This window comes from Homo sapiens, chromosome 1, assembly GCF_000001405.40.
Source record: "Homo sapiens chromosome 1, GRCh38.p14 Primary Assembly".
Taxonomy (NCBI): Eukaryota; Metazoa; Chordata; class Mammalia; order Primates; family Hominidae; genus Homo; species Homo sapiens.
In genome coordinates, this window is record NC_000001.11 from 240684025 (window position 1) to 240710311 (window position 26287).

General features: G+C 40.7%; 1 long non-coding RNA gene across 1 annotated transcript, besides 1 other annotated feature; it reads right to left on the bottom strand.

The window, feature by feature from the left end:
* Positions 1 to 1658: 1658 nt before the first annotated feature.
* On the bottom strand, positions 1659 to 26045 carry LOC105373228 (uncharacterized). The gene is made up of 4 exons (XR_949320.2): positions 25922 to 26045; positions 3941 to 4127; positions 2610 to 2751; positions 1659 to 1729 (listed from the first exon to the last, which is right to left on the bottom strand). It is a non-coding gene; the product is annotated as an uncharacterized LOC105373228 (long non-coding RNA).
* Positions 8105 to 8399: a silencer, noted in NCBI's record as "tiled region #3663; K562 Repressive non-DNase unmatched - State 13:Ctcf". NCBI's record gives its function as "represses a minimal TATA promoter and a strong SV40 promoter by Sharpr-MPRA in K562 cells {active_cell/tissue: K562}" and the evidence as "EXISTENCE:reporter gene assay evidence [ECO:0000049][PMID:27701403]".
* Positions 26046 to 26287: the final 242 nt, after the last annotated feature.

Below are 26287 nucleotides of genomic sequence, written 5' to 3' on the forward strand. Positions count from 1 at the left end.
AATGCTGGTTGAAGAAACTACTTCTGCCGGGCGTGGTGGCTCACGTCTGTAATCCCAGCACCTTGGGAGGCCAAGGTGGGTGGATCATCTGAGGTCAGATGTTCAAGACCAGACTGGTCAATGTGGTGAAACTCCTTCTCTACTAAAAATACAAAAAATAGCCGGGCATAGTGGCCCATACCTGTAAATCCCAGCTACTCAGGAGGCTGAGGCAGGAGAACTGCTTGAACCCGGGAGGCGGAGATTGCAGTGAGCCAAGATTGTGCCACTGCACTCCAGCCTGGGCAACAGAGTGAGACTCCATCTCGAAAAACAAACAAACAAACCAAAACAACAACAACAACAAAGAACAAACAAACAAAAAAACAAGAAGAAGAAGAAGAAACTACTTCTAGCCATGAGGACATGGCTTCAATCAAACTAATTCCCATATTGGGAACTGCTATGAAAGCTGGATAAAATTGAAAAGAAAACAACTGGCCAGGCGTGGTGCCTCACGCCCGTAATCCCAGCACTTTTGGGAGGCCGAGGTGGGCGGATCACTTGAAGTCAGGAGTTCGAGACCAGCCTGGCCAACATGGCGAAACCCCATTTCTACTAACAATACAAAAATTAGCTGGGCATGGTGGTGCATGCCTGTAATCCCAGCTACTCAGGAGGCTGAGACAGGAGAATCACTTGAACCCGGGTGGTGGAGGTTGAGGTGAGCTGAGATCGTGCAACTGCACTCCAGCCTGGGGGACAGAGTGAAACCCTGTCTCAAAAAAAAAAAAAAAAAAAAAAAAAAAAAAAGAATATCAGTAAATAAGAAAATATTTTGAAATGAATGATAACGAGAAATGGTACTTAATGTAAGGGATGCATCTGAAGGCCTAGAGTGAAATATATATGCACATATTAGAAAAGAAAAAAGATCTACAAAATGTCTAATATTCAGCCAGGTGCCATGGCTCACACCTGTAATCCCAGCACTTTGGGAGGCCGTGATGGGTGGATCACAAGGTCAGGAGTTCGAGACCAGCTGGGCCAATATGGTGAAACCTGGTCTCTACTAAAAATACAAAAATTAGCCAGGTGTGGTGGTGGGTGCCTGTATTCCCAGCTACTTGGGAGGCTGAGGCAGAAGAATTGATTGACCCTAGGAGGTGGAGGTTGCAGTGAGCCGAGATCACGCCATTGCATTCCAGCATGGACAACAGAGCAAGACTGTCTCAAAAAAAAAAAAAAAAGTCTAATATTCATCAAATAAGCTAGAAAAAGGATAGCAAATTAAACCCAAAGAAAAATAAGAAATGAAATAATGCTAACAGCAGATATCAAACAGCAAACATAATAAAAAGAAAATCAATAAAGCCAAAGTTGACTTTGAAAATTCTAATAAGATATAAATTACTAGAAAAACTGATATCATAAAAATAGAAAAACACAAATTGACAGATTTACCACAAAACCTACAGATATTAAAGCAGTTAATAAAAGAATCTAATGAGCAGCTTACACCAAAATTTAAAGAGTTATTGTCAAATGGACACACTTCTTCAAATAAAAAGGATTATTTAATAAAATCAAAATAAGAAGAAAAATAAAATCTGACAAACCTTTCCACAAACTACTCCCATCCCTCCCCCGACAAAATTCTAGGCCCAGATTTTTTTACTCACCAATTCTTCTAACATTTAAGGAAGAATCTTCTCCAGGTAATAGAAAATGTGGGAACACTTGTCTTTTTCTATAGGGTAGTAAAGGTGAATAGACATGAGAAAGGTTTTGAAGGTGTTATTAATATTCTATGTCTTGATCTGGGGGGTGGTTTCACAGAGGCATTCACTTTGTAAAATTCACTGAACTCTGTATTGCACTTAGCATTTATGCACTTTGTGTGAGTTATATTTCAATAAAATTTTGCCAAGATATAAGTAATGCAGTGATAAAATTATATATAATATAATTTCATGTATATATACAGATAACATGATTATATATTATGTATACATATATACATGTAATATAATCTGTATATATGTGTGCATATATATAACATATAGCAACATATACTGTACTTACAGACGTAAAACATTATTTTAATATGTTTTTTAAATATTATATATACACTCATATATAATGTTCCTATAAACAGTAGCAGAGCCATTTTTTTTCTTATGCTACTTCAAATGATGTGATTTTTGTTCCCTTATATGACATCACTGCTAAATTAAGGGCCAGTCCCTAAATTTAAAAATATATATATTATAAAAATATATATAATATATATAAAATATGTATATAAAAATTATTTTTTTAGAAATAGAGACGAGGTCCTGCTATGTTGCCAAGGCTGGCCTCAAACTCCTGGTCTCAAGCGATCTTCCTACTCTGGCCTCCCAAAGGGCTGGGATTACAGGCGTGGGCCATGACACCCAGGCCAGTTCCTTAATTTGAAAGCACAATTCTTCCTATAGTCATTAGATAATCTGATTACTATCACACCTGTATAGTAACAAAGTATCCTCTAGAAATATTTTTTGATTATAGTCTGAACATAAAAATTTGATCCTATATTCTTAGACATAACTGAAATCGGTGATGAATGTGGATGCTATTTCACTTACCCGTGTAATCCGTGCCCTTGTGCAGATCAACTCAGGTGTTAGTAATGACTATTGTGTGGACAGGAGCTCCGAGATACGTGCTGGTAACAATTAATGTACAGGATTGTACCAAAAAAACAAGTCGTTCATGCTATAAACTTCACTGGAATACAAAAGAATTATAGGAATTGTCTCTTATCGTCAAACACATCACTGTCCTTTGAAATCAAGGGGTTCATTGTTTGATACCTGAATTGTTTATTCACCTGTATAAAAAGCAGGTCACAATTTTTTTTTGTAGTTTTGCCAAGCAACTGAGGGTCACTAAATTTCATAAGTACAGATCACCGCTGTGCTCTCTAAACAGCCTTTGTCCTTAGTTTTAACTCCACAAAATGTCAAGATAACAGACACTAGTCTTTTGGTCTCAGTTTTAATGTGAAATCTATGCCCACAAAATGCCACTCTCAAATTTGTGTTATTAGCTTTTCTGAATCTATTCACCAATCTACAAACGATAAACACTCAGACCTAGTTTCCTTTCTTGGGTCAAAAAGCATTCCCCAAGTACCATTTACATTGAAATCTGGAAATGTGGCTAAAAGTCTTTGTGTGTGTGTGTGTGTGTGTGTGTGTGTGTGACAGGTCTCGCTCTGTCACCCAGGCTGCAGTGCAGAGACCCTTTGAGGCTCACTATAGCCTCAAACTCCTGGGCTCAAGTGATCCTCAGCCTCCCAGTGGTCTTTGTAGACAGCCTGATGGAGTCTCATGGCACAGAAGATTAATTAAACGATGTCTTTTAATTTTAATCAATTTTTGCAATCCAAAAAAAGCCTCATTCGGCCAGGGTGAGGAAAGGATGACAGGATTGTTCAGCGGCGTTTCTACTTGACTTTGTTGTAAAGTCATTTAGGGTAAGGAAACTTGGAGAATCAAACAGCTGGTGTTAAATTGGCTAAGCATATCATTTTCCGAAACTCCTTTCTGATCTTCATTAAGGAAACCAATATATGATGGGGAACTCATTCATAAGAGAGACGAGTGTTCAAGTATTTTATATTTTCAAGGATTTGGAGGCTGATGCCAACACTAGTGCATTAATTGCCTGACATTCTGAGCTCAGGCCCACTACCTTTTTGTTCTGAGGTTTTGACTGATCTATATATTCTGGCTTTCAATAAAGGCCTGTCACAGCAGAAAAACAGAAAAGGGATGCTGAGTACGAAGTCAGTTATTAGCTAAGTGGTTCTTCAGGCTTTTGTTGTTTGCCATGAAATTTGCATCTTGCAAAAACTGGATCTGTGCTCTTGGCACAACGGATGTTTCATATTTGCCAAATAAAGTTTCAGTACCTTTGCCTCTGGTTCACTGACTTCCCGTCTGTGACGTGCACCTCTTCCTTTTTCTCTGAAGGACAGTAGTAAGTCACAGTGCTCTTCCTGTTCAGATTACCATCTTCAAGTGACTGGCACTCATTGGCTTCAGAAATGCTATTTTTTTTTCCTCCTGCTTCTGGAATGTGACCAGACAAGATCATTCCTATGGCAAAATATGATTGAGAAATAATATTTTAGAGGCTGGGAGATATTGTGTCATGCCACACCAGGTAACTGTCTTAAGTAAAAGACATAAGAAAGACACAATGAATGATATGATGCTTTTCAAGGATCTTTTTTTTTTTTTTTTTTTTTTGAGATGGAGTTTCACTCTTGTTGCCCAGGCTGGAGTGCAATGGCACAATCTCGGCTCACTACAACCTCCACCTCCCAGGTTCAAGCAATTCTCCTGCCTCAGCCTCCTTAGTAGCTGGGATTACAGTCATGCGCCACCACGCCCGGCTAGTCTGTATTTTTAGTAGAGACAGGGTTTCTCCATGTTGGTTAGGCTGGTCTTGAACTCCCTACCTCAGGTGATCCGCCCGCCTCAGCCTCCCAAAGTGCTGGGATTACAGGCATGAGCCATCGCGCCCAGTCTCAAAGATCTTAATGATTGAAACAAATATAACCAATAAGTAGAGATGCAAGAAAAATGTCCATGTGTTTACATGCCAGTTTACATTGAGGAGCATTAAGAATTCACCATTCTTGGTATGTCATTGTAATTTCGTACATATTTTATTTATCCAAATTTTTTCTTTGAGGTAGGATGGGAGGGAAATGATTCACCATAACTACTATTTATTTAGAACACAGTTAATCACCTTCCCTCACCAATAACCTTGCCTCACACTACCTTCCCAAGGTTTGCAAAACTCATTACCAAACAAACCAAACAAAAAGATGAAAAACAAAACAAAACAAAGCCAGAAACTCTATTCTGTGTAAGAGTTATTAACCTGTCATACGTGCAAAATAATTATGAGTGAAATTTCATGAATGGAATGGAAAATCATGCATTTGTATTCGGGGGAAGAGGATGCATAGCATTTTCCAGATTCTCAAGGCAATTCAATGCTCCCAAAAGGTTAAAAGCCACTGCAATTGAAATTGCTTTTTCTTCAAACACCTCCAGTCTCCTTTTCCATGTAAAGTATTGAAGTTTTAGGCCTCTGCTGCTTGCCTACACTGCAATCATTTCTTTTTATTTTCTAAATTATCAAAATAAAGGGATCATGTTGTTCTACATTTCTCGTTTTTACTTTATCCTTGTCTATGTCTGGGTGACTTTCGGAAAAGCAGAAATCCGTGTCTGGCCTCTCATCTGACTCTTTTAAGGCTGGCAGAGCGGTGTCTGCCCATTCCAGTTGTTAACAGGATTTTTCTTTTTCTTAACTCTTAATCTGTTTCTGGGAAGCTTTTAAAATACATTTTCCCCCTTCTCTTTCAGATATCCTCAGCTTCCCTAGCTCAGGGGGATTCATGCAAATTGTGTATTCTCTGGGGGATGCATTGCTGGTAGATTCTGAAAACGTCTCAGCTTTTTTCCTCCCATTGTCAAATACAATGATAATTTCAGGCTTATCTTAAAGGAGGTTTTGTTTCCATAATTCACTTCAGTTGTGGAAGCAAAATATCCTTTAATGTAGAAAACATTAAATGTATAGAGAATTTGCTCTGCATCTCCAGAGAAGCTTTTAGGATGTCAGTAATTGGAATTGCTATATTCCATCTACTAAAGAAAGATCTAGTCTCCTTAATCTATCCCCGACTTTGATCACATGAGACCACAAAGCCACCTAGGTAGCCTACAGTCTGGCCATATTCGCCAAATGTATACTTGATTTGGCCAGATACCAGCCTAGGGCCACCCATGTTTTTCTCACCAGATCCCCTGTGGTGATGATTTGTCAACAGTCGGGCAGGAGGACAATGGACTGGGATAAAATTCAAACTTTGAAAGTAAGATTTTTCAAACTGTTTTAAAAACATTTTGAAAGACTACAGTGGAACATCTCTCGGTGACTGGAAATTTTTCTTTTCCTTTTTTTTTTTTTTTTTTGCCAATGGGTTCACATTTTGAATTGGCAAAAATTGGTATGATGAGTATGATTTCATAATTTATGTATTAGAGCAGATGGAGATTAATCATTTAGCTAATCCTGTTCATCTTCCCAATCAGTTACTGTTTGCTAGTGGGAAACCAGAGGCAGCCAAATGGCTCATCCCACCAATGAGGCAGAACAGTTGCTTAAGAGAACATTCTCGCTTACTCCCAAGTTTTGCTAAAACTTCAAGTGACTGTGAGCCCCTTAACTTTGCTCCACTTGAAAATACATTTGAGGCAGGGCACGGCGGCTCATGCCTGTAAACCCAGTGTTTTGGGTTGCTGAGGTAGGCAGATCCCTTGAGCCCAGGAATTTGAGACCAGCCTGAGACACATGGCGAAACCCTGCCTCTACTAAAAATACAAAAATTAGTTGGGTGTGGTGGCATGTGCCTGTGGTTCCAGCTACTTGGGAGGCTGAGATGGGAGGACTGCTTGAGCTCTTGAGCCCAAGAGGTCAAGGCTGCAGTGAGCCGTGAGCATGCCGCTGAACTCCAGCCTATGCAACACTGCGAGACCCTGTCTGAAAAAAAAAAAAAGAGAGAGAAGGGAAAAGAAAATACATGTGAAAGTTTTTCTCAAAACCAGTGTTCTTTCTATGAACGCAACATTTGGAAATCTATTGGCCAGGTTTTTGTTAAGATGATTGCCCTGTTTCTGAGAAAGGACAGCCAAAGATAGTCAAGGGTGATTGCATGCAAGTCTGAACTCCATGTCAACGAACCAGCTGGGAGCACGTAAAGCTTACAAATGCCGTCCAGTATTGAAGTTACTTTAATAATCTTGAACTCTGGAAGTTAAAGTGTTAGGACCTGTAGGCTGGGCACGGAGGCTCACACCTGTAATCCCAGCACTTTGGGAGGCTGAGGCGGGCGGATCACGAGGTCAGGAGATCGAGACCATCCTGGCTAACACAGTGAAACTCTACTAAAAATATAAAACTTTAGCCGGGCGTGGTGGCGGGCACCTGTAGTCCCAGCTACTTGGGAGGCTGAGGCAGGAGAATGGTGTGAACCCAGGAGGCGGAGCTTGCAGTGAGCTGAGATCCCACCACCGCACTCCAGCCTGGGCGACAAAGCGAGACTCCGTTTCAAAAAGAAAAAAGTGTTAGGACCTGTAATCCTAATTTCTTATAGGGCTGATTTCATGAAAAATATAAGCTTACATAACCCAGCTTTGTAATATTTGACCACAAAACTGAATGATCAGCATAGGTACAATTTGCTGGTTATGAAAAATAAACCAGGTTAACAATCTGTTGAATTATGGAAAACACAAAAGAACAAATTTACCTTTTAGGTTTTAGCACAAAGGAGAAAGAACACAAGTTATCTAATAACTCAAGAAGATAAGACCAGCTACCTCACCTCGCACCCTCTGTTCCTGTTAAGCCACTGGAAACCCAAAACTAATCAAATCCCCAAATCCCCACATCACTGACAGTGCTTATGGCTTACTGACTTCAACATAGATAAATGGCCCCATTAATGTCAGGGCGGTTACGTTTGTCTGAAGAATATACGTCTGTATTTTAAATTGCATTATCCAGTTTATCCATGGGATAAGAATTGTTTACCTTCACAAATTCCAGGCTTCTGAGCTGAACTAAACAGGGCAAGTTTAAAGGCAGGAGCTCAGAGCAGTTCATAGCCTTTTGACAGCTCTGATGTGGTCTGCCAAGCCTGAATTGGTAAAATCCAGGCTTATCTCTCAGCACAACGCAGTTCACCCTCAGGTCTTTCCTGCTACCTGCAGCCCCCGTGAAGCCCCTACAAAGCTGGAAGTTGCAAAGTGGATGGAATAATTCTGCAAAATATTGTTTGGTGTTGGATTAGCATTCACAGATGTGGGTCCAAGAAATTGCTCAACAGCCCACGGAGGCCAAGGAAGATCTGCCACGACATCGATACCACGCCTGACTAGGTCACTTCAGGCTTGAGTCCAGTTCAGTGTGTCCCGCCAAGCCCCAGCTTTTGTCTCCTCCTCTTGTTTCCAGTTTGCTCTGCTTCTGTGAAATGAGGTGTTTGCTCATCACTGGGCAGGGCAGAAAGGTAGAGACAGAACAAGAGATGGAGGACGGGGGACTCTTAACAAATCCACATCCATCTTTGCCTCCATTCAACCTGCCTTGTGCTGGCTTGAAAACAGTTGCTGACCAAGGTTTGGAAAATGCAGCAGCTGCTTGCTGCCATCTGCTGTACTTTCTGTTGCTAGCAAGCATGGGACCATGGCTGGCTGCAAAAGAGGAAAAAATGGAAAAGTGGGGGAAGCAAGAGACCGGCAGCCTCCTCTTTACCCAGGAAACCCCCATGATAATGCAGCTACGGATTCATGTCAGAAAAGCGGCCACCTTTCCCAGCGTGAATGAACCACAGTGATTTTTCAGGACGTAGAATATACTTTCCTTTACACTTACGTGATTATGTTTTCCATATTGTAACTATGGAGGGAAAATAAATATAGATTAGGCTCAATGGAATTCAAGTTGTCTGCTCACTTGAACTACTTCTTAATCTTGAACTACTTCTGGATAAACATTGGATCAAAATAGAGGGTAAAGAAATACTGGTGTGGCTGGGCATGGTGGCTCACACCTGTAATCCTAGCACTTTGGGAAGCTGAGGTGGGTGGATGACTTGAGGTCAGGAGTTCAAGACCAACCTTGCCAACATGGTGAAACCCCATCTCTACTAAAAATACAGAAAAATTAGCTGGGCGTGGCGGCGCACGCCTGTAATCCCAGCTACTCGGGAGGCTGAGGCACAGAAACCGCTTCAACCCGGGAGGCAGAGGTTGCAGATCACGCCACCGCACTTCAGCCTGGGTGACAGAGTGAGAATCTATCTCAAAAAAAAAAAAAAAAAATTACTGGTGTGTAAGATTCTAGGAGTGAGTCTCTAAGATATACATCTAAAGATGATCAAGACTTTCTAAAGAAACCATCACATGATTCTGCCTTCCTTCCAATAGCTCAATCTCTTTATTTTTGCTCATTATTAGACTCCTTAAGTGATCCTATTTCCTTTTGGTAAGCTAACTTCCAGATGCCCTCTCTAATGTGTCTTCCAGTATCAATGCTCAGATGAAATGCATCAGATGAAATTCACCCATGGTCTACTTAGCTCTTGTCTTAGAAATAGTCCTTTTGGACTCATTCCAAATCCAATTTCTGAAACAACATCTGTTGATGGTCTCTTCAAAACTCTGATCTCTTCCTTTTTTCCTTTAATGGCCTTTTCACTTCCCCCTTCCTACTAATTTTGGAAATTCAAAGGGAAGGCTCAATTTTTAAAAATTCTAATTGTAGGTAATAGGAATGAATCTGAGCTTGGCCATGTGTAATTTATTTTTCTAACTCAGAGCTTGTTTTGCTTTTTCCATTCATTTATTCAATTTCAATAATAATGACTTTGCTGGTGACATCCGTAGGAAATCTTAATTTTGCCCTTCTCGTTGGGTTTCTCACTGCCTAGCCCTGTTTCATGAGATAAAGACCTTTTGTCCCATAATGTGTACAGCATAAACCTTACAAATTCTATAAGAGAGACTACAGAGTAAGTTGAAGAAAATAACCATGCAGTGGTAGCATCTGACCTTTGGGGAATCATGATTTATATGACTGTTAGTGTTGGGTTAACATCTTCTGGCCACATACCCAGTATCTAGCAGCATCTGGCAGCACACTCTGAAAAGAATCATACCATTTTTAGATGTTTAACTTACAGCAAGGATATGTTCTTTTTATTCTCAGTCTTCCATAGGATGGTATAAAATATTTCTCTCACTGCATGTGGGACAAACTGAGGACAAGATACCAGTAACGTAATGAGCAATTGATCTCTTTGTAAAATCTTGTAGACAGTGTTATGAAGTGGAAATGAGAAACTATGCTGGGACTGGCAGGCTCCTGCAATGTGCGTACTTAGTGACAAGAAGGTGTAGCATGTGCCCTAGGCTATATATCCACATGTATTCAATAAGGTACATCTTTAAAGACAATCTTTGGAAATTGCATATTAGGTTTCTGCTTATTTCAAAAAGTGCCAGCAGTATAATAGGGACTGATGGGAAGAGAATGATAAAAATCTAAACAGCTTTTACTTCCTTTGTGAAACTTTTACTTACTACGGCCATTTCACAGTGCAAACACGTTCTCATTCTTCTGTGCTCCCATTGTGCTCTGTATAGACTTCCACTGTGGATATGTAATGATTATTGAACTCTTTGTTTTCACGCTTCTCTCACAATTAGACTGTAAACTCACGGAGGCGAGAGACTGCTTTTGTCACTATGTATTTCCAGATCCTATTAACTTGGATATAGCAGATGCTTAATACATGTCCATTGAATTAATAAGTTAAATTAATGGTTTCCAGTCTTAAACTAGATAGTCAGAAAAGATTCAAACACATATATTATAATAGAGGACAGCAACAAAGTGTGCCAAATTCTGTAGACAGTATGTGTCAAGATTGGAGACCCAAGGCAATTGTTATTATATTTTCATCTCCTGTCTGAGAGTCATTGAATCTTTTAGCAAGAAGTAATAATCTGGTCTAATATCTTTATTTCACAGGAAGAGAGAGAAAGTCATGTAAATTTATTATTTCTTAAGTACTAAATGTTATCTCTGCATAGTTATTCTTTATAAAGTTTAAAAGACTTATCCAAGATAAACAGATGCTTTATCTGTTTAGAGTTAGCACTCAAGTTTCTTCATGCTTCAAAAATTCCATGTACTTTTCATGTTGCTAATTGTGTATTTGCAATGTGATATTTATTATAGCTTTACCTCTATGATTTATTCTTTATGAATTTGTGTGAAGTGTGAATACATGTCATCATTAATTAAAATAATTACTAATCACTAATTAAAAATTGTGGGTTTTATTAAATTAAATTAAAATAATAAAATTACTGCTATGACATTCATTGACACAAAATAATAATAATAATAATTTACCTTATGGAGGACTTACCTCTCACCATGTGCCAGGCACTCTTCTAAATGTTATATACATATATATATATAAATGTATTTAATATATATATAAATTTATTTAATCCTCCTAGCAACTACTCAAATATATAAAGATGAGGAAACTGAGGCACAGAGCAGTTGTGTGAATTGGCCGATATCACATTCTCATCAATGTCAGAGGAGGATTTGAATCAAAATTATCTAGCTCTAGAACCAAAAGAATTGACTCCTAGGATGTACCCTCCCTCAAATCAGACCTAGTTTTCACCATCAAAATGAAGAAGGTGGCACATAAATGAACGCAGTACAAGGTAACAAGTCCCAAAGTTTAGATATGTGGGAAGCCCAAGGAAGGAATAAATAGGTAATATTCATGAGGCCTCTAAAGGTGGCCATAAATCAGCGTGGAGTTATATATGCACTGCCATTCATGAAACTCTTAGGGTGATGACACCCCTCACTTGGCCACTGCCATTGGAGCGCACTCCTTGACCTCCTCTTCCACTTCACCAGGGTTGGTGTTGAAAATGTCACTAGATCCTGAAAGAAATGCCACCTGTTGAGTGTGCCCTTTACTCTCTGCCATACAGATTAACGTTCACTAGTAAAGAGCTCTAGCACTTGGAAACAAGGGGAAATTTGACTCTTTCCATTCTTTTCTGGATGTCTCTATTTGAGTTTCTCTACCCATCATTATGCCATTGTCTTTTTTTTTTTTTTTTTTTTTTTTGAGACGGAGTCTCCCTCTGTCGCCCAGGCTGCAGTGCAGTGGCACGATCTTGGCTCACTGCAAGCTCCGCCTCCCAAGTTCACGCCATTCTCCTGCCTCAGCCTCCCCAGTAGCTGGGACTACAGGTGCCCACCACCATGCCCGGCTAATTTTTTTGTATTTTTAGTGGAGACGGAGTTTCACCATATTAGCCAGGATGGTCTCGATCTCCTGACCTTGTGATCCGCCCATCCTCGGCCTCCCAAAGTGGGGGGATTACAGGCATGAGCCACCACGCCCAGCCTATTATGCCATTTTCAAAACTGCCAACGTATCACAGTGATTAAGAGGTCTTCTTGGCAGGAGATCAATCAATATTTATAGGATTTGATTTAGTGTACATTGGATTTAGCATCAATACTGATGTATTCTAACACATCTCAGAATTACTCTGTTATGTAGTTGAGGTCCTGGTAACCTATTTACCATGAGGCTGCTTTGAAATGTGTCCCTGAATTCTCCCACCAGGTGATGTCATTGTCAATTTCCCCTTCATTTAAATTTACCCAATAGAAATTTTAATTCCCTATCAGTGCAGTCAGCGGGGACATTTTTAAAAAAGAGAAATTGTAATTCCCATGAAAACTTGAAATATATCAGTGAAATGACTTTATGTAACATAACTTCGCCTGTGTTGAAAGAACAAAGACATGTTATTGAAAAAAGCATTATTTGCTTGCTTGTTCTCTATCCATCCCTGAGTGGAACAGTGCCAGCAACAAGGTTGGGGTAAAGAGATTGGCCTTGTAGAAGCTGGGCTAAATGTACTCTAGATTAATGAGCTAAACTAAGAGTTGATATTGATATAAGGAATCAAGGCATGCCATAGCAGACGCAATGTGTGGATGCTAAACTCAATGTAGTACTTAACCAATCAGATTAAATTAATTTACACCTCTAATTTTGCATTTTACAATAAAATAGCATCATGATACAATGGAAGAGCCATATAAATCTTTCTTAGCAATGCTACTCAGAGGCCATATGGCTTTGAATACATTATTTAACCTGGTTGTACATTATTTCCCTTTCCATCAGCTAAAGGTGTTGGTAAGGGATGATTTCTTTTTTTTTTTTTTTTTTTTTTTTTTTGAGACAGAGTCTCGCTCTGTGGCCCAGGCTGGCGCGATCTCGGCTCACTGCAAGCTCCGCCTCCCAGCTTCACGCCATTCTCCTGCCTCAGCCTCCTGAGTAGCTGGGACTGCAGGCGCCCGCCACCATGCCCGGCTAATTTTTTGTATTTTTAGTAGAGATGGGGTTTCACTCTGTTAGCGAGGATGGTCTCGATCTCCCGACCTTGTGATCCGCCCGCCTCGGCCTCCCAAAGTGCTAGGATTACAGGCGTGAGCCACCGCGCCCGGCCTGGTAAGGGATGATTTCTGAGGATTCTACTAGCTCTCAGATTCTGTATCAAAGGACATGGGGTGTTTAATAAAGCTTTCAGAGTAAAATATTAGGGAAATTATTACTGTTCTGTTAAAGACCCATAAATCGGCCGGGCCCGGTCGTTCACACCTGTAGTCCCAGCACTTTGGGAGGCCGATCACGAGGTCAGGAGTTCAAGACCAACCTGGCCAACATTATGAAACCTCGTCTCTACTAAATATACAAAAATTAGCTAGGCATGGTTGTGTGTGCCTGTAATCCCAGCTACTCAGGAGGCTGAGGCAGGAGAATTGCTTGAGCCAGGGAGGCGGAGGTTGCAGTGAGCCGAGATCGTGCCACTGCACTCCAGCTGGGGCGACAGAGCAAGACTCTGTCTCAGAAAAAAAAAAAAGAAAGAAAGAAAAGACCAATAAATCAAATAATAGAGATATTGTGACTGATTTTCAGTAATCCAACAAGTAATCGAGGTGACAGAGTGACAGTAGTACAACTTTGATTCAAACAAACCTGCATTTAAGCCCCATTCTGCCACTTCCTAAGTGTATGAACTTAGATGAAGAACTTCGAATTCCTGAGCCACAGATTCCTCTATAAAATAGAGTGAGTCCCTTATGCAACTCTATCGCCATGTATATTAAAGAAAGAATGCATGCATAGCCATTAACACATATGGATCCGACATATAATGAATTCCAAATAAACGATTGTTTCTCAGAGGCCCGGAGAGGGGTCTCTGTTGAGAAACAGCCCACTACGTCTGAGAACAGCCTTTACTCACAATCCCTGCCTACTGCCTGCTAACTGTACAGGTAGTAACTCATTCTACTTTTGGCATGAGCATGACATTCATCCAGATCAATATCCAAAAGATATAAAAGGGCAGACAGTGAAGTCTCTCTCCCACCTCTGAGTGCTGGCTGGCTAATGTTCCTCCCTGGAAGCAACCAATGGACCCAGCCTCTTATGTTTGTTTTCAGAAATGCTGTGTGTACATGCAAGTGAATTTGCATGTATATATAAATACACGGAAGGGGGCACACGTGATACACACCTTCCTGGGTTTTGTCTCATAGAAAAAAATTGCTAGGGGCCAGTGTGAAGTTTGTGAGTTATCTCAATTGACTATTCACAGTCAGTTACAGACTGAACTTGTTCTGTTCTTTACCCCCTTTTCACTACTGCACTTGACTAGTCTTTTAAAAAGAAAAAAAGTTGCTAAAAAAATTTTTTTTCTTTTTTCTCATAAGCCCTTGAGCAAATTATTCTTCTTACAAATCTAGCCAATTATAGAGTCATCAATTAAGAGTCCATATCATTAGGTTTTATTTCTAATGACTGGAAAATATATTCTCTCAAGATTTAGGTATTCGTATCTTTTGGTTATACAATTAATCCCATGACATCTGAACCAAGCAAGGTATAATGAACACAAAACTGAAAACTGTTACATAAAGAATATCATATGGATTAGTCTTATTCGAATTTGTTTTAAAATATTATATTATGAAAAAATTAAAGAAATAGAAATATTCAAATATTACAGCTAACACTTAGACATCCCCCACCCATGTTCTACACTGACATTTTAGGATATTTTAATATATTTGCTTCTTCACATTTCTACACATTTCTATCTATCCATTTCTCTCTTCATTCAACTGATGGGATTTACTGCTAAATTAAAGTAAGTTTACTTTCATCAAAATCCTAAGAACAAAAATAATAATAACTAGTAGGTTGGTGCAAATGTAATTGTGATTTTTGCCATTGAAAGTAATAACAAAAACAATTATTTTTGTACCAACCTAATAGAAATATGCTTCTCCCAAGAACCAGACAAAAGAGATGGCAAGTTTTCAAAACTCTTTGAAAATAATAATGAGGTGATCAATGTTTCATAAAATTTGTAAAACAAATTTTTTTAACCTCTTTGATAACTACAATATATAGTAGGAGGATAGTGAGAATTGCAGAATTGAATGATACTGTAAAACTAGTGGGTTTAGCAGTCACAGCATAGCACACATGTGTGTCTTATTTTTCTAACTTGGGAATCAAGCTAATTAATTACATATTTTCTATTTTGTAAAAATTATCTCTAAAAACTATTCTTGTATGAATTGAAAGTATCATCTTCCAAATGACATATTTTGACACTTATCTATTACAAATATTGGGTGAAATGATCTTCTGGGAAAGACTTTCTCTGCCAAGTTCAGGTCCAAAGGGATCTTTCTGTTCAATTATCCTATTATAACCCTTTGAAATGAGTGCAGCTAATGAAAATTCCAGTGGCCACTCTGTTAAGACATATAGTTGACCATGGAACTCTCCACATTTCAGCTGGTTTTATTGAAAAACCCAGCTTTTCAGCCTCCCTGGCACTCTCTTGAGTCAAATATCCAAGGGCATTTTTTATTTTAGTTAAAATTGTCTTTGTGCACACATTGTTTCTATACAATACTTCTTTTCTCTTCTTTTCTTTTTTTGAGACGGAGTGCTGCTCTGTCACCCAGGCTGGAGGGCAGTGGTGCGATCCCGGCTCATTGCAACCTCCACCTCCCAGGTTCAAGCAATTCTTGTGCCTCAGCCTCCCAAGTAGCTGGGGCTACAGGTGGATGCCACCATGCCTGGCAAATTTTTATATTGTTAGTACAGATGGAGTTTCACCATGTTGGCCAGGTTTGTCTCGAACTCCTGACCTCAGGTGATCTGCCGGTTAATTTTTTGTATTTTTAGTAGAGATGGGGTTTCACCATCTTGGCCAGGCTGATCTTGATCTCCTGACCTCGTGATCCACCCACCTTGACCTTCCAAAGTGCTGGGATTACAGGTGTGAGCCACGGTGCCCTGCCCTATAGATATTTCTATGTGAGCTCTGCCCATCTACAAGTAAAATCTTTTGGGATCTGAGCCTTTCTCCAGCTAGCTAGTCTTAATTTCATGGGACGCACTCTTCTGTTTCTCATCACAGTGCCACTGCAACCATTCCTTCCTTCATTGCTCTCTTAGAAGTCTCTGCCATAGAAAGTGTGGCCTCTGTTTCTCCAGAAAGTGCTCATCCAGAATTGTTTTCCTTTGATTGTTTTCATCGTTTGCCTTCAGTGGGAAGATAATCTGCTGCAGTAGAAATAATAACACAGGCTTTTAGAGTCAATTACTCAAAAACGTCCACTGTGTTCTTGCAGAGTGCCAGGCACTATCCAAGGAGCTTGGGTTACAGGAGTGACAGGCATCTCTTGCCCTTATGAAGCTTACTTTTATTCAAGTGGGAGAGATAAGAAGGGTGTAAAACTGGCCGGGTGCTGTGGTTCAGCACTTTGGGAGGCTGAGGTGGGCAGATCACCTGAGGTCTGGAGTTCAAGACCAGCCTGACCAACATGGAGAAACCCCGTCTCTACTAAAAATACAAAAAAATTAGTGCCTGTAGTCCCAGATACTCGGAGGCCGAGGCAGGAGAATTGCTTGAGCCCAGGAGGCATAGGTTTCGGTCAGCCAAGATCATGCCACTGCACTCCAGCCTGGGCAACAGAGTGAGACTCCGTCTAAAAAACAAAAAAGAAGGGTGTAAAAAAATGGCTAAGATAATTGTTGGTGCTAACAACTGCAATGAAGGTGGTAAAGCAATGTAGGGAGGAAACTTTTCAGGGTAGCAGGAGAGGCCTCGTTGAGAAGGTAACCTTTGAATTTTTAGCTGAATGAAGAGAAAATGCAGTTGTGGGAACATCTGGGAAAAGCACTTTTCAAACAGTTGAGGAGGGATAACAGTAGTCATGTGTCTTACGAAAGTCACGTGGACTCCAGTGCACAGAGAAGAGAGGCTGGCCTTAGACATGGATGCATGTCTGGCCTAAGACAGACAGGCATGGCACTGACTGTGGTTTAAGGGACTGGATGGTGTGACAATGGAGACATTCTGGATGAAGTATGAGGTGCGACCAACATCTGATAGCAAGGGGAGTGGGGACACTGGAGTTTTTTTTTTTTTTTTGGAGACAGAGTCTTGCTCTGTGGCCCAGGCTGGAGTGCAGTGGCGCGATCTCGGCTCACTGCAACCTCCGCCTCCCGGGTTCAAGCGATTCTCCTGCCTCAGCCTCCTGAGTAGCTGGGATTACAGGCGCCCGCCACCACACCCAGCTAATTTTTGTGTTTTTAGTAGAGGCAGGGTTTCGCCATGTTGGTCAGGCTGGTCTCGAACTCCTGACCTCGTGATCTGCCTGCCTCAGCCTCCCAAAGCTGGGATTACAAGCGTTTGAGCCACCATGCCCGGCCTGGTACTGGAGATTTGAGAAGAGGGGGAAAGAGAAGAGACCAGGGCAGCATGGAAGGATTATATGACTTTGTTGAATTCCTGTTTCATACTTGTGGTTTTACATTTGAGATGTATCCAGTTACCCTGGTTGTGCAACTTTTCTCAGGCTAATTTCAGCTGCTCTGGGGAGGATATGGAGTAAATAATATCTGGGAATTCTAGACAAATGTGACTGTGGGGAAGAGGACCAACCTAAGAAAACGATGTTTGCAAGGGAATGGTTTTTGAGCTGTATCATGGAAGCTAGGCTGGGTAAGGAGGACATTCTTGGGGTGATAAATAGTAAAAAACTGGTAGAGCAAATGGACCAGAGGGCTCAGTGCAGGAGGATATTTGATATAGGGTGAGAACTAGAGTAAATTAGATGAAATGAGTGGAAAGCGATGTTCAGACATGGACTTTTAAAATCGAGGATTTATAAGTGGTAACAGTAACCATAATAAGAATAACTGTTATTGAATATTTCAAATGTGACAGGCAATGTACTGGGAGGTTTATATTCACGAACTCATTCAAACTATACAACGGCTTTTGGAGTTAGAATCACAGATAGACTCATTTTATAGAAGAAACTGCTGCAGAATGAGACATTAACTAACTTAAGTCATATAGAGAGAAAGTGTCTGGGCCACTTTACAAAGTGATAAGCAGATCTAGAGTGTGACAATGTAGGTGAGTGGCTAAAGTGGAGTGTGAGAAAATATTATTGCAGCAAAAGAAGAAGATGTGGACAGGAGAACTACGGTGAAGAATAAATCATTCAAGTAGATTTTAACATGAACGAGAATTATGAGAGGCATTGCAGTGGCGGAAAGAAAGACAGCTAGGTACTCATATTCATCAGTACTGAGGGCAATTAGCTAGGAGGTTGACACCTACCAATAGGAGGAGTAACGGGTGGAAACTTCTGATCACCTGAGTTTCAAGGGATCTAGGGGCTTTGAAGGACAGAGGAGAGGTGGTTTAGAAGTGGCAATGAAGGACCAGGAGCTGTGGCTCACACCCGTAATTCCAGCACTTTGGGAGGCCAGGTGGGCAGATCACGAGGTCAAGAGATCAAGACCATCCTGGCTAACATGGTGAAACCCCGTCTCAACTAAAAATACAAAAATTAGCTGAGTGTGGCGGCGCGTGCCTGTAATCCCAGCTACTCAGGAGGCTAAGGCAGGAGAATTGCTTGAACCCAGGAGGCGGAGCTTGCAGCGAGCTGAGATCATGCCGTTGCACTCCAGCCTGGGCAACAGAGTGAGACTCCATCTCAAAAAAAAAAAAAAAAAAAAAAAAAAGAAGTAGCAATGAAGAGCAAGGAAAACCTAGCCTACCTCTAGGGTCTGAGGCATTTGGAGATGTGGGAACCAAACAACTTCCTCTTAAAAAGGCCACGGGAAAAGCAGGGACCTCAGGGTACAGCAAGGTTTTGGTTAGTGCTAGGAAGTGAGGAAAATGTTCAGAGAAGAGTTTGAAGATATTGGAGAGTTCTTGGCACAAAGGAAAGATTTGGGAGGGTGACTGATGGGTCAGATTGGGGAAAGTATAGATATGTATGGATGAACTGGTGGGGACATCTGTGTAATGATACATGGCCTGAGGCTTGGACTTCTTATGGGGTTCAGGAGAATGAAGATGGGGGTGTGATGGGCAGGGACTGAGCCACTGGATGGAGACTGGGGATAGGGCTTGCTTATGGCCTGCGTCCCGGGCATAAATATTGGTTCTACCATAGACCAAGTGGTTGACTTTGGGCAAGCCATTTAAACTCAGTTCTCTCATTTATAAGCTGTTTAATAATATCTACATTTCATGAGTGTAATTAGGATGAGAGATTATAAGTGACTAGCACAGATTGAGCACCCAAAAAGAATTAACTAGAACTGTGAAGATGATGATGATGATAATGATGATGATGATTTATGATGTAATATTCTAAAAACTCATCAATGTCTCTTTCTTTTCTTTTTTTTTTTTTCCTTTTGAGACAGAGTTTTGCTCTTGTTGCCCAGGCTGGAGTGCAATGGCACGATCTCGGCTCACTGCAACCTCCGTCTCCCAGGTTCAAGCAATTCTCCTGCCCCAGCCTCCCGAGTAGCTGGGATTACAGGCATGCGCCACTATGCCTGGCTAGTTTTGTATTTTCAGTAGAGACGGGGTTTCTCTATGTGGGTCAGGCTGGTCTCGAACTCCCGACCTCAGGTGATCTGCCCGCCTCGGCCTCTCACAGTGCTGGGATTACAGGCGTGAGCCACCGCACCCAGCCAACATCTCTTTATTTTCTACCGTATTTCTTGCTAATATGTCCAACTTTGTGGAACCACACTGTGTTAGGATTTGGAGCTCTGGCAGCCTTAGAAAATATCTGGGGGGAAAATACAGTTGAGTTAAGCAGTAGGAGAGCAGCAATAGCAAATAAAGTTTATATGAGAAAATAGTATGGGCATTCTAAGGGATGAGAAGCCAGACAAATGGAGACAGGAAAGAGCTTCCTCTGGAATCAGAGCAGGCAGTATTGAAAAGCTGGAAAAAATGGACTTGCTCCATACACATAACTTCTGGCATCTCATGCCTGAAGCCTTCAGCTACAGAAATGCTAAGAAATAACAATGAAAAGACGTGCGGGGCTTGAAGGATGAGTTACCCTCAGTGTTACTGCGGTCTTGCTTCTTCGTCTTCCCCAGTGCCAAGCACGAAGAAGAAACAGTCATGGACTGGCTTGTAAGGTAGCCCTCGGCCCCCAGCACCCTTGCTCTCTCCCACACATACATGTTTTTTTTTTTTCATAGGATTAAGTAGGCCAAAGAAGAAATAATTTTTGCTTCAAGAGATTATTGATATTTTTGCTAATATATTTTTAGCTCTTTTTCTCTCACACAAAGCTTTCCATCCTACATTACCTGAATGGCCCATTCAACATGATGCTGATAACAGTATAAGTAGAAAAACAGAAGCAGAAAGATACTTGGGCTTAAAGGCAGGATGTCATGGTTTGAATTCTGGCTTTGCCATTTAGGAGATTGTGGTCCTTGAGAAAGTTTTTTTTTTTTTTTTTTTGAGACAGAGTTTCACCTTGTCACCCAGGCTGGAGTGCTATGACGTGATCTCGGCTCACTGCAACCTCCATCTCCTGGGTTCAAGTAATTCTCCTGCCTCAGCCTCCCGAATAGCTGGGACTACAGGTGTGTGCCACCATGCCTGGCTAATTTTTGTGTTTTTAGTAGAGACGGGATTTCACTATGCTGGCCAGGCTGGTCTCGAACTCCTGACCTCGGGTGATCCACTACCTCAGCCTCCTAAAGTGCTGGGATTACAGGGATGAGCCACCATGCCCAGCCTTGAGAAAGTTCTTTATCCCCTTTGTGCACTAATTCCTGTGAGTGGAAAATAATTATATGCCTCGGAGCCTGTCATATTAACAGAGAGAGTGGACAAGAGAGGATCTATAAATTTAAGAGTACATAATATCTGAAAATGTTTGTTTATTTATTTTGAGATTTATTTTGAGATGGAGTCTCACTCTGTCACCCAGGCTGGAGTGCAGTGGCGTGATCTCAGCTCACTGCAACCTCTGCTGCCTCCTGAGTTCAAGAAATTCTCTGCCTCAGCCTCCCGAGTAGTTGGGATTACAGGCGCCCGCCACCACACCCAGTTAATTTTTTGTATTTTTAGTAGAGATGGGGTTTCACCATCTTGGCCAGGCTGGTCTTGAACTCCTGACCTCGTGATCCACCCACCTCGACCTCCCAAAGTGCTGAGCCACCATGCCCTGCATGAAAATGTTTATTTTTATACATGTGTATAAAGATGTATAAATACATATAATAATGAAATATAAATTGTTGAATGTAAAAATGAATAGTAATCACTGGCCACCAAAGTGCAGTGATTTCTATGTAGCCTAAAGTGATGGCAGAGTTGGTATTTTCTTTTCCAGTGGCACAGATAATAGGTTTCTTTGATATATAATGTATGTGCCAGAAGTAGAAATAGGAAAATACTTACACTTGCCAACAAAGTAACAACAAACAAGCTAGTATGAAGATGGAAATGGAGATCAAATAACTCAGAAAATAAGGAAAGGAGTAAATAGAGAAAAATCAGAATCCTGGGAAAATTCATGGAAAAACAGAACATTAATGGCAAAAGAAAAGAAGGAAGGAGATGCATACTGCAGAAAGAAGAGACCACAAAACAGTCTGGCACAGTGAGAGGAGAGAGCATGTCTAAGAGAAATGGAATGAAGCCAGTGGAAGCGGGACTCATGAAAGAAAAACTACTGGAACAGAATAATTGGGTAAGAATAGGAAAACCAGTGAAAGCGGTTCAGAACAAGGATTAGAGGTAAAAAGACATTTTAAAAATATTGTGCTAATATAATAAACAGCCTTAAAGGTGGAAATTAAAAATTTTTTTAAAACGTAGACTGTCAAGCATTCTTTTTACATTTTTCTTTTTTAAAGAAATCTGGAGCCCCTCTGATGATGCACCTGGATGAAAAGTTATTTATAGTATTGTCATCCACAAACATTGTTGCTATTTGATGTTTGGACTCTCTTGAGGTCAGAGAGTTTCATCAATTTTTAAATTTTTGTTTGATAATTTGGATGTAATTAGAGTATTGGGAATTACTTTAGATCAAATTTGCCTGTTCTGATTTGATCTAGTCGCCAATGATTTCAAAAGTCCTTGACTGCCAAGAGGAGATGCCAGCACATTTTTCCTGGCTTGGCGTTTCCTGAGTTTATCCCTCTTCGTAGACATAAATCTGGGATGGAGCCAAGCACGTCAAAGAGTCACATCTCTTTGCTCTCCCCGTGCAATATTTAATCACTGGACTTAGTGAAATCACTAAGATGAACTTATTGCAGCCAAGATCCAGAGATGGATGGCTGCTCCAAAGGGCAGTGCTTTGAAACTGTTTTTTACATGATGTCAGAAAGCGTTTTGACTAATGGTAGATTCTTAGAAGAGCATTCATTCCAGACTCTTTAGAGCTCTTTACCTAATTTCCCCTCATCTTTCAAGTCTCAGTTTAAATGTCACTTTATCCAGGAAGGATTTTCTGGTCCCCCTTGGCTAAGTTAGGACCACCTATTTTATGCTTCCTTAGCAGCCTGCTTTCTTAGTAATACACATCATTCTTACAATGACTGACTCAGCATAGAACTTCCCAGCCCCCTTATAAGCTCAACTATAAGATGCATAATATCAGACTCCGTGACTTGTTCAATGCTGAAACCCCAGCACTTAACACATCTGACTGGCAGATGGTCAGTCCTTAATAATATTGATTTAATGTATGAATTAGTAAGTGCATGAGCAACTAAATGAATAGATACAGAAGAAAGATTTAATAGTGCTATGAATTACAAGGAAACTCTCCCATGCCCTTTTAATCACTTATCTCCCTGGCAGAGCTGTGAGGCCGATGACATAGGCAATATATGTCAGTCTTACAAATAGGGACATGGTTAAATGACCCCATTTTTATGTGGATCATAGGCTTCCTATCTTTGTGAAAAGGAAAATGTTTATTTCACAGAATTCATGTCAGTTCATTAGAATATATGATGACTGTAAACTATATATGTTCACTTTTATTTGACTTCCAACATACGAAAATCTCATATCAGTTCCTCATGATTGATTTCTCACTTTCTTTTTTTTGGAGATGGAGTCTCACTCTGTTGCCCAGGCTGGAGTGCAGTGGTGCAATTCCAGTTCACTGCAACGTCTGCCTCCTGGGTTCAAGTGATTCTTCTGCCTCAGCCTCCTGAGTAGCTGGGATTACAGGCGCATACCACCACGCCCAGCTAATTTTGTATTTTTATCAGAGATGGGGTTTCACCATGTTAGCCAGGCTGATCTCGAACTCCTGGCCTCAGATAATCCGCCCACCTTGGCCTCCCAAAGTGCTGGGATTACAGGTGTGAGCCACTGCACCCTGCCTGATTTCTCACTTTCTAAGTTTAGTTTGATGTTAGGTCAGGTATGCTGCCTTTTAACCAGCACACAAAGAAAAGAGGGCTGAACTTTCATAAATCCCGAAGGATCCTGAGGACCTTCCAGATTGATACAAAGGACCAAGGTTTAGGATACTTGGATAAAGCCAGAGTTTATTCAGTGAAGCTTCTTTGAACATGAACAGAAGAGAAAATTGAAGAGATTGAGAAGAGTCATTGTTATCATCAAACCAGGCAACCAATTATATTGCCTAGAAATCTTGGCAGATGCTAGAATTTTCAGTCACAAATAAATATCTGAATATCTGGTGGAAACCATCAACTTGACTATGGAATAAAGTCCTTAGCACAGTGTACAAGATGCTCAGCGTCCTTAGAGCTTACCTTCTCATAATCAACTTATATTGATTCCAAGCATCCTGGAATCAGATCACATCAGATCAATACAACATGCATTTCTCTATTCCGAATCTTTGCAAGAACTCTTCATTTTCCCTTACAAATGGCTTTTTGCAATATCCTGTTCTCCAGAGAAACTCATCGTCCTTTAAGATTCATACTAAATACCTGGGTGCTGAGAAAAGGGTCATTCTAGGATTATTGGAGAGGTGCAATTTTAATTGGTTTATAAAGGATGCGACATATTTTCAGAGAGGACAAGGTACTTCAAATGGATAATCAATGAAACAATGAGACAAGGATCAAGTACCATGAAGAACGAGAAGAAAGACGGGAGCAGACAGGACATGATGAATGCTCAACTACAGAGGAATTGTTGTTTAGTAGCAAGACTGCTTAACAAACAGACAAATTGAAAAAAACAAAAAACTGACCCCATCATGGAATGACAGACCCTAATTAGAGATCTTTCTTGGCACTCTAAGCCTTGACTAGTAACAACTTTTTTTTTTTTGAGACGGAGTTTCACTCTTGTTGCCCAGGCTGGAGTGCAATGGCATGATCTCGGCTCACGGCAACCTCCGTCTCCCAGGTTCAAGCAATTCTCCTGCCTCAGCCTCCCTAGTAGCTGGGAATTACAGGCATGTGCCACCACGCCTGGCTAGGCTAGTAACATCTTGAGGTACTTAAAAGTGCTATAGCCAGGGACTTATAGTTAAAAAAAAAAAAAAATCTTGCCCCTTATTCCCTGGAAAGTCAGTGGCAACTTCCCAGAATGGCAACCTCAGGATCTCTCATGGTACTGAATCACCAAGTCCATATGATCTCTAGATTTAAACCTAAAACCTCCAGATCACCCCTTAAAAATACATAGCAACAAGTCTGAGAACAGGTGTGTGTTACCTACACACACCCTCCTCCCATCTCTCTGGCCTTATTGCACAAAATCCCTATTTTGTCTCCTGGATATGGGAGAGGGATTCAGGAGCCTCATTCAAGGACAGTCCTGTGGACTGAAAGTCTTTGATGAGAGCATGACTGAGAGAAGCTGGTGTCTGCCTGGATAGCTGGGTGCAAACTGTCATATATCAAGCAACGAACTTAAGTTGTTATTAGGCGACAGATTCCCTATCTCCAAGGCCAAAGTAAATTGTGTTCACAAGATCGGAAAATCTCCTAAGTCAACTATTAAACCCATCTCTAGGAGGAAGAAGTTATCTGGGATAAGGTACTTCTTCTTTGGAAGTTTTTCCATCCTCAGAATAGACATGCAAGAAAAGCTTCATGTATTTTCAGTTGATGGTGTCTTGAATAAAATGAACAAAAGACAGACATAATTTTTAGAAGGCAAAATTTCCATTCCATTCCTTTCCAGACAGGCTTTTACTGAAAACATTGATCATAAAGCCACCAGCCTTAGTTTTCTAAACTTCAGAATTTAAAATAAACAACTATCAGCCTCCTCTCTGTCTCTCTTTTTACCCTTCCTACTGAGGAAAGTTAAATAGTACATTCTTTCCCACTAAACCAGAAGCAACATAACACAGAAATTCTACTCACAGCTTTAAAATAAATTACTGGATACAAAAATAACAATAACAATCCTTTGGTTCAGCCAACCAATCAAATGTTTTGCATGATTAAAACATGAACACTGCCAAATCCCAGATTTAAAAGAAACATTTAGATGCTATTAGAATTTCCATTTCATAAAGTAAATCCAGTATGCTAGCTTTTATCTCCAGCAACTGAAGCTTTTCTCAACAGCCATTACTACGGATCTGTGCAGGGTCAGCCTCTCATCATTTCGTGACTAAAGTATTGTTTTTTCATTCCAGTGTGGAGTCCCGTCTCCAATCTTTCATCTTTCCCATTTTTTTTTAAGAGACAAGATTTCTCTATATTGCCCAGACTGATTTTGAACTCCTGGGCTCAAGGAATCCTCCCGCTCAGCCTCCTGTGTTGCTGCGACTACAGGCTCATACCACTGGCCCTGGTTCCACTTTCACTCTTAGTTTCATTAATCAATACAGAACAATGGCTACCTACCTTAAATTTCGTGAAGTCTGGATGTGAAGGCTGTTGATTCTCTACACTTCATGCTGTTGAACATCCTCACTCCGTGCCTCCAGCCCCCACACCTTCCTGTCCCCACACCAGTGCCTTTCCACATATCTAGGGCACAATCACCTACACACTCCTGCTCATGTCTTTCTCTGGTCCACCATGTCTGTAATGCTCCTGCCTCCACTCAGAAGCCTTCCCCGGGAAAGAAACTGGTTCTGATCACTTCTTTCTTATTTCTTGTGCAATTGTTATTCATTCTTTTTTCTTATATTTTACTCAATGTCAATGCTTTTCTTCTCTCTTCCAGTCACTTTATGTTTATGTTTGCCACATGGATTAGTTTCTAAA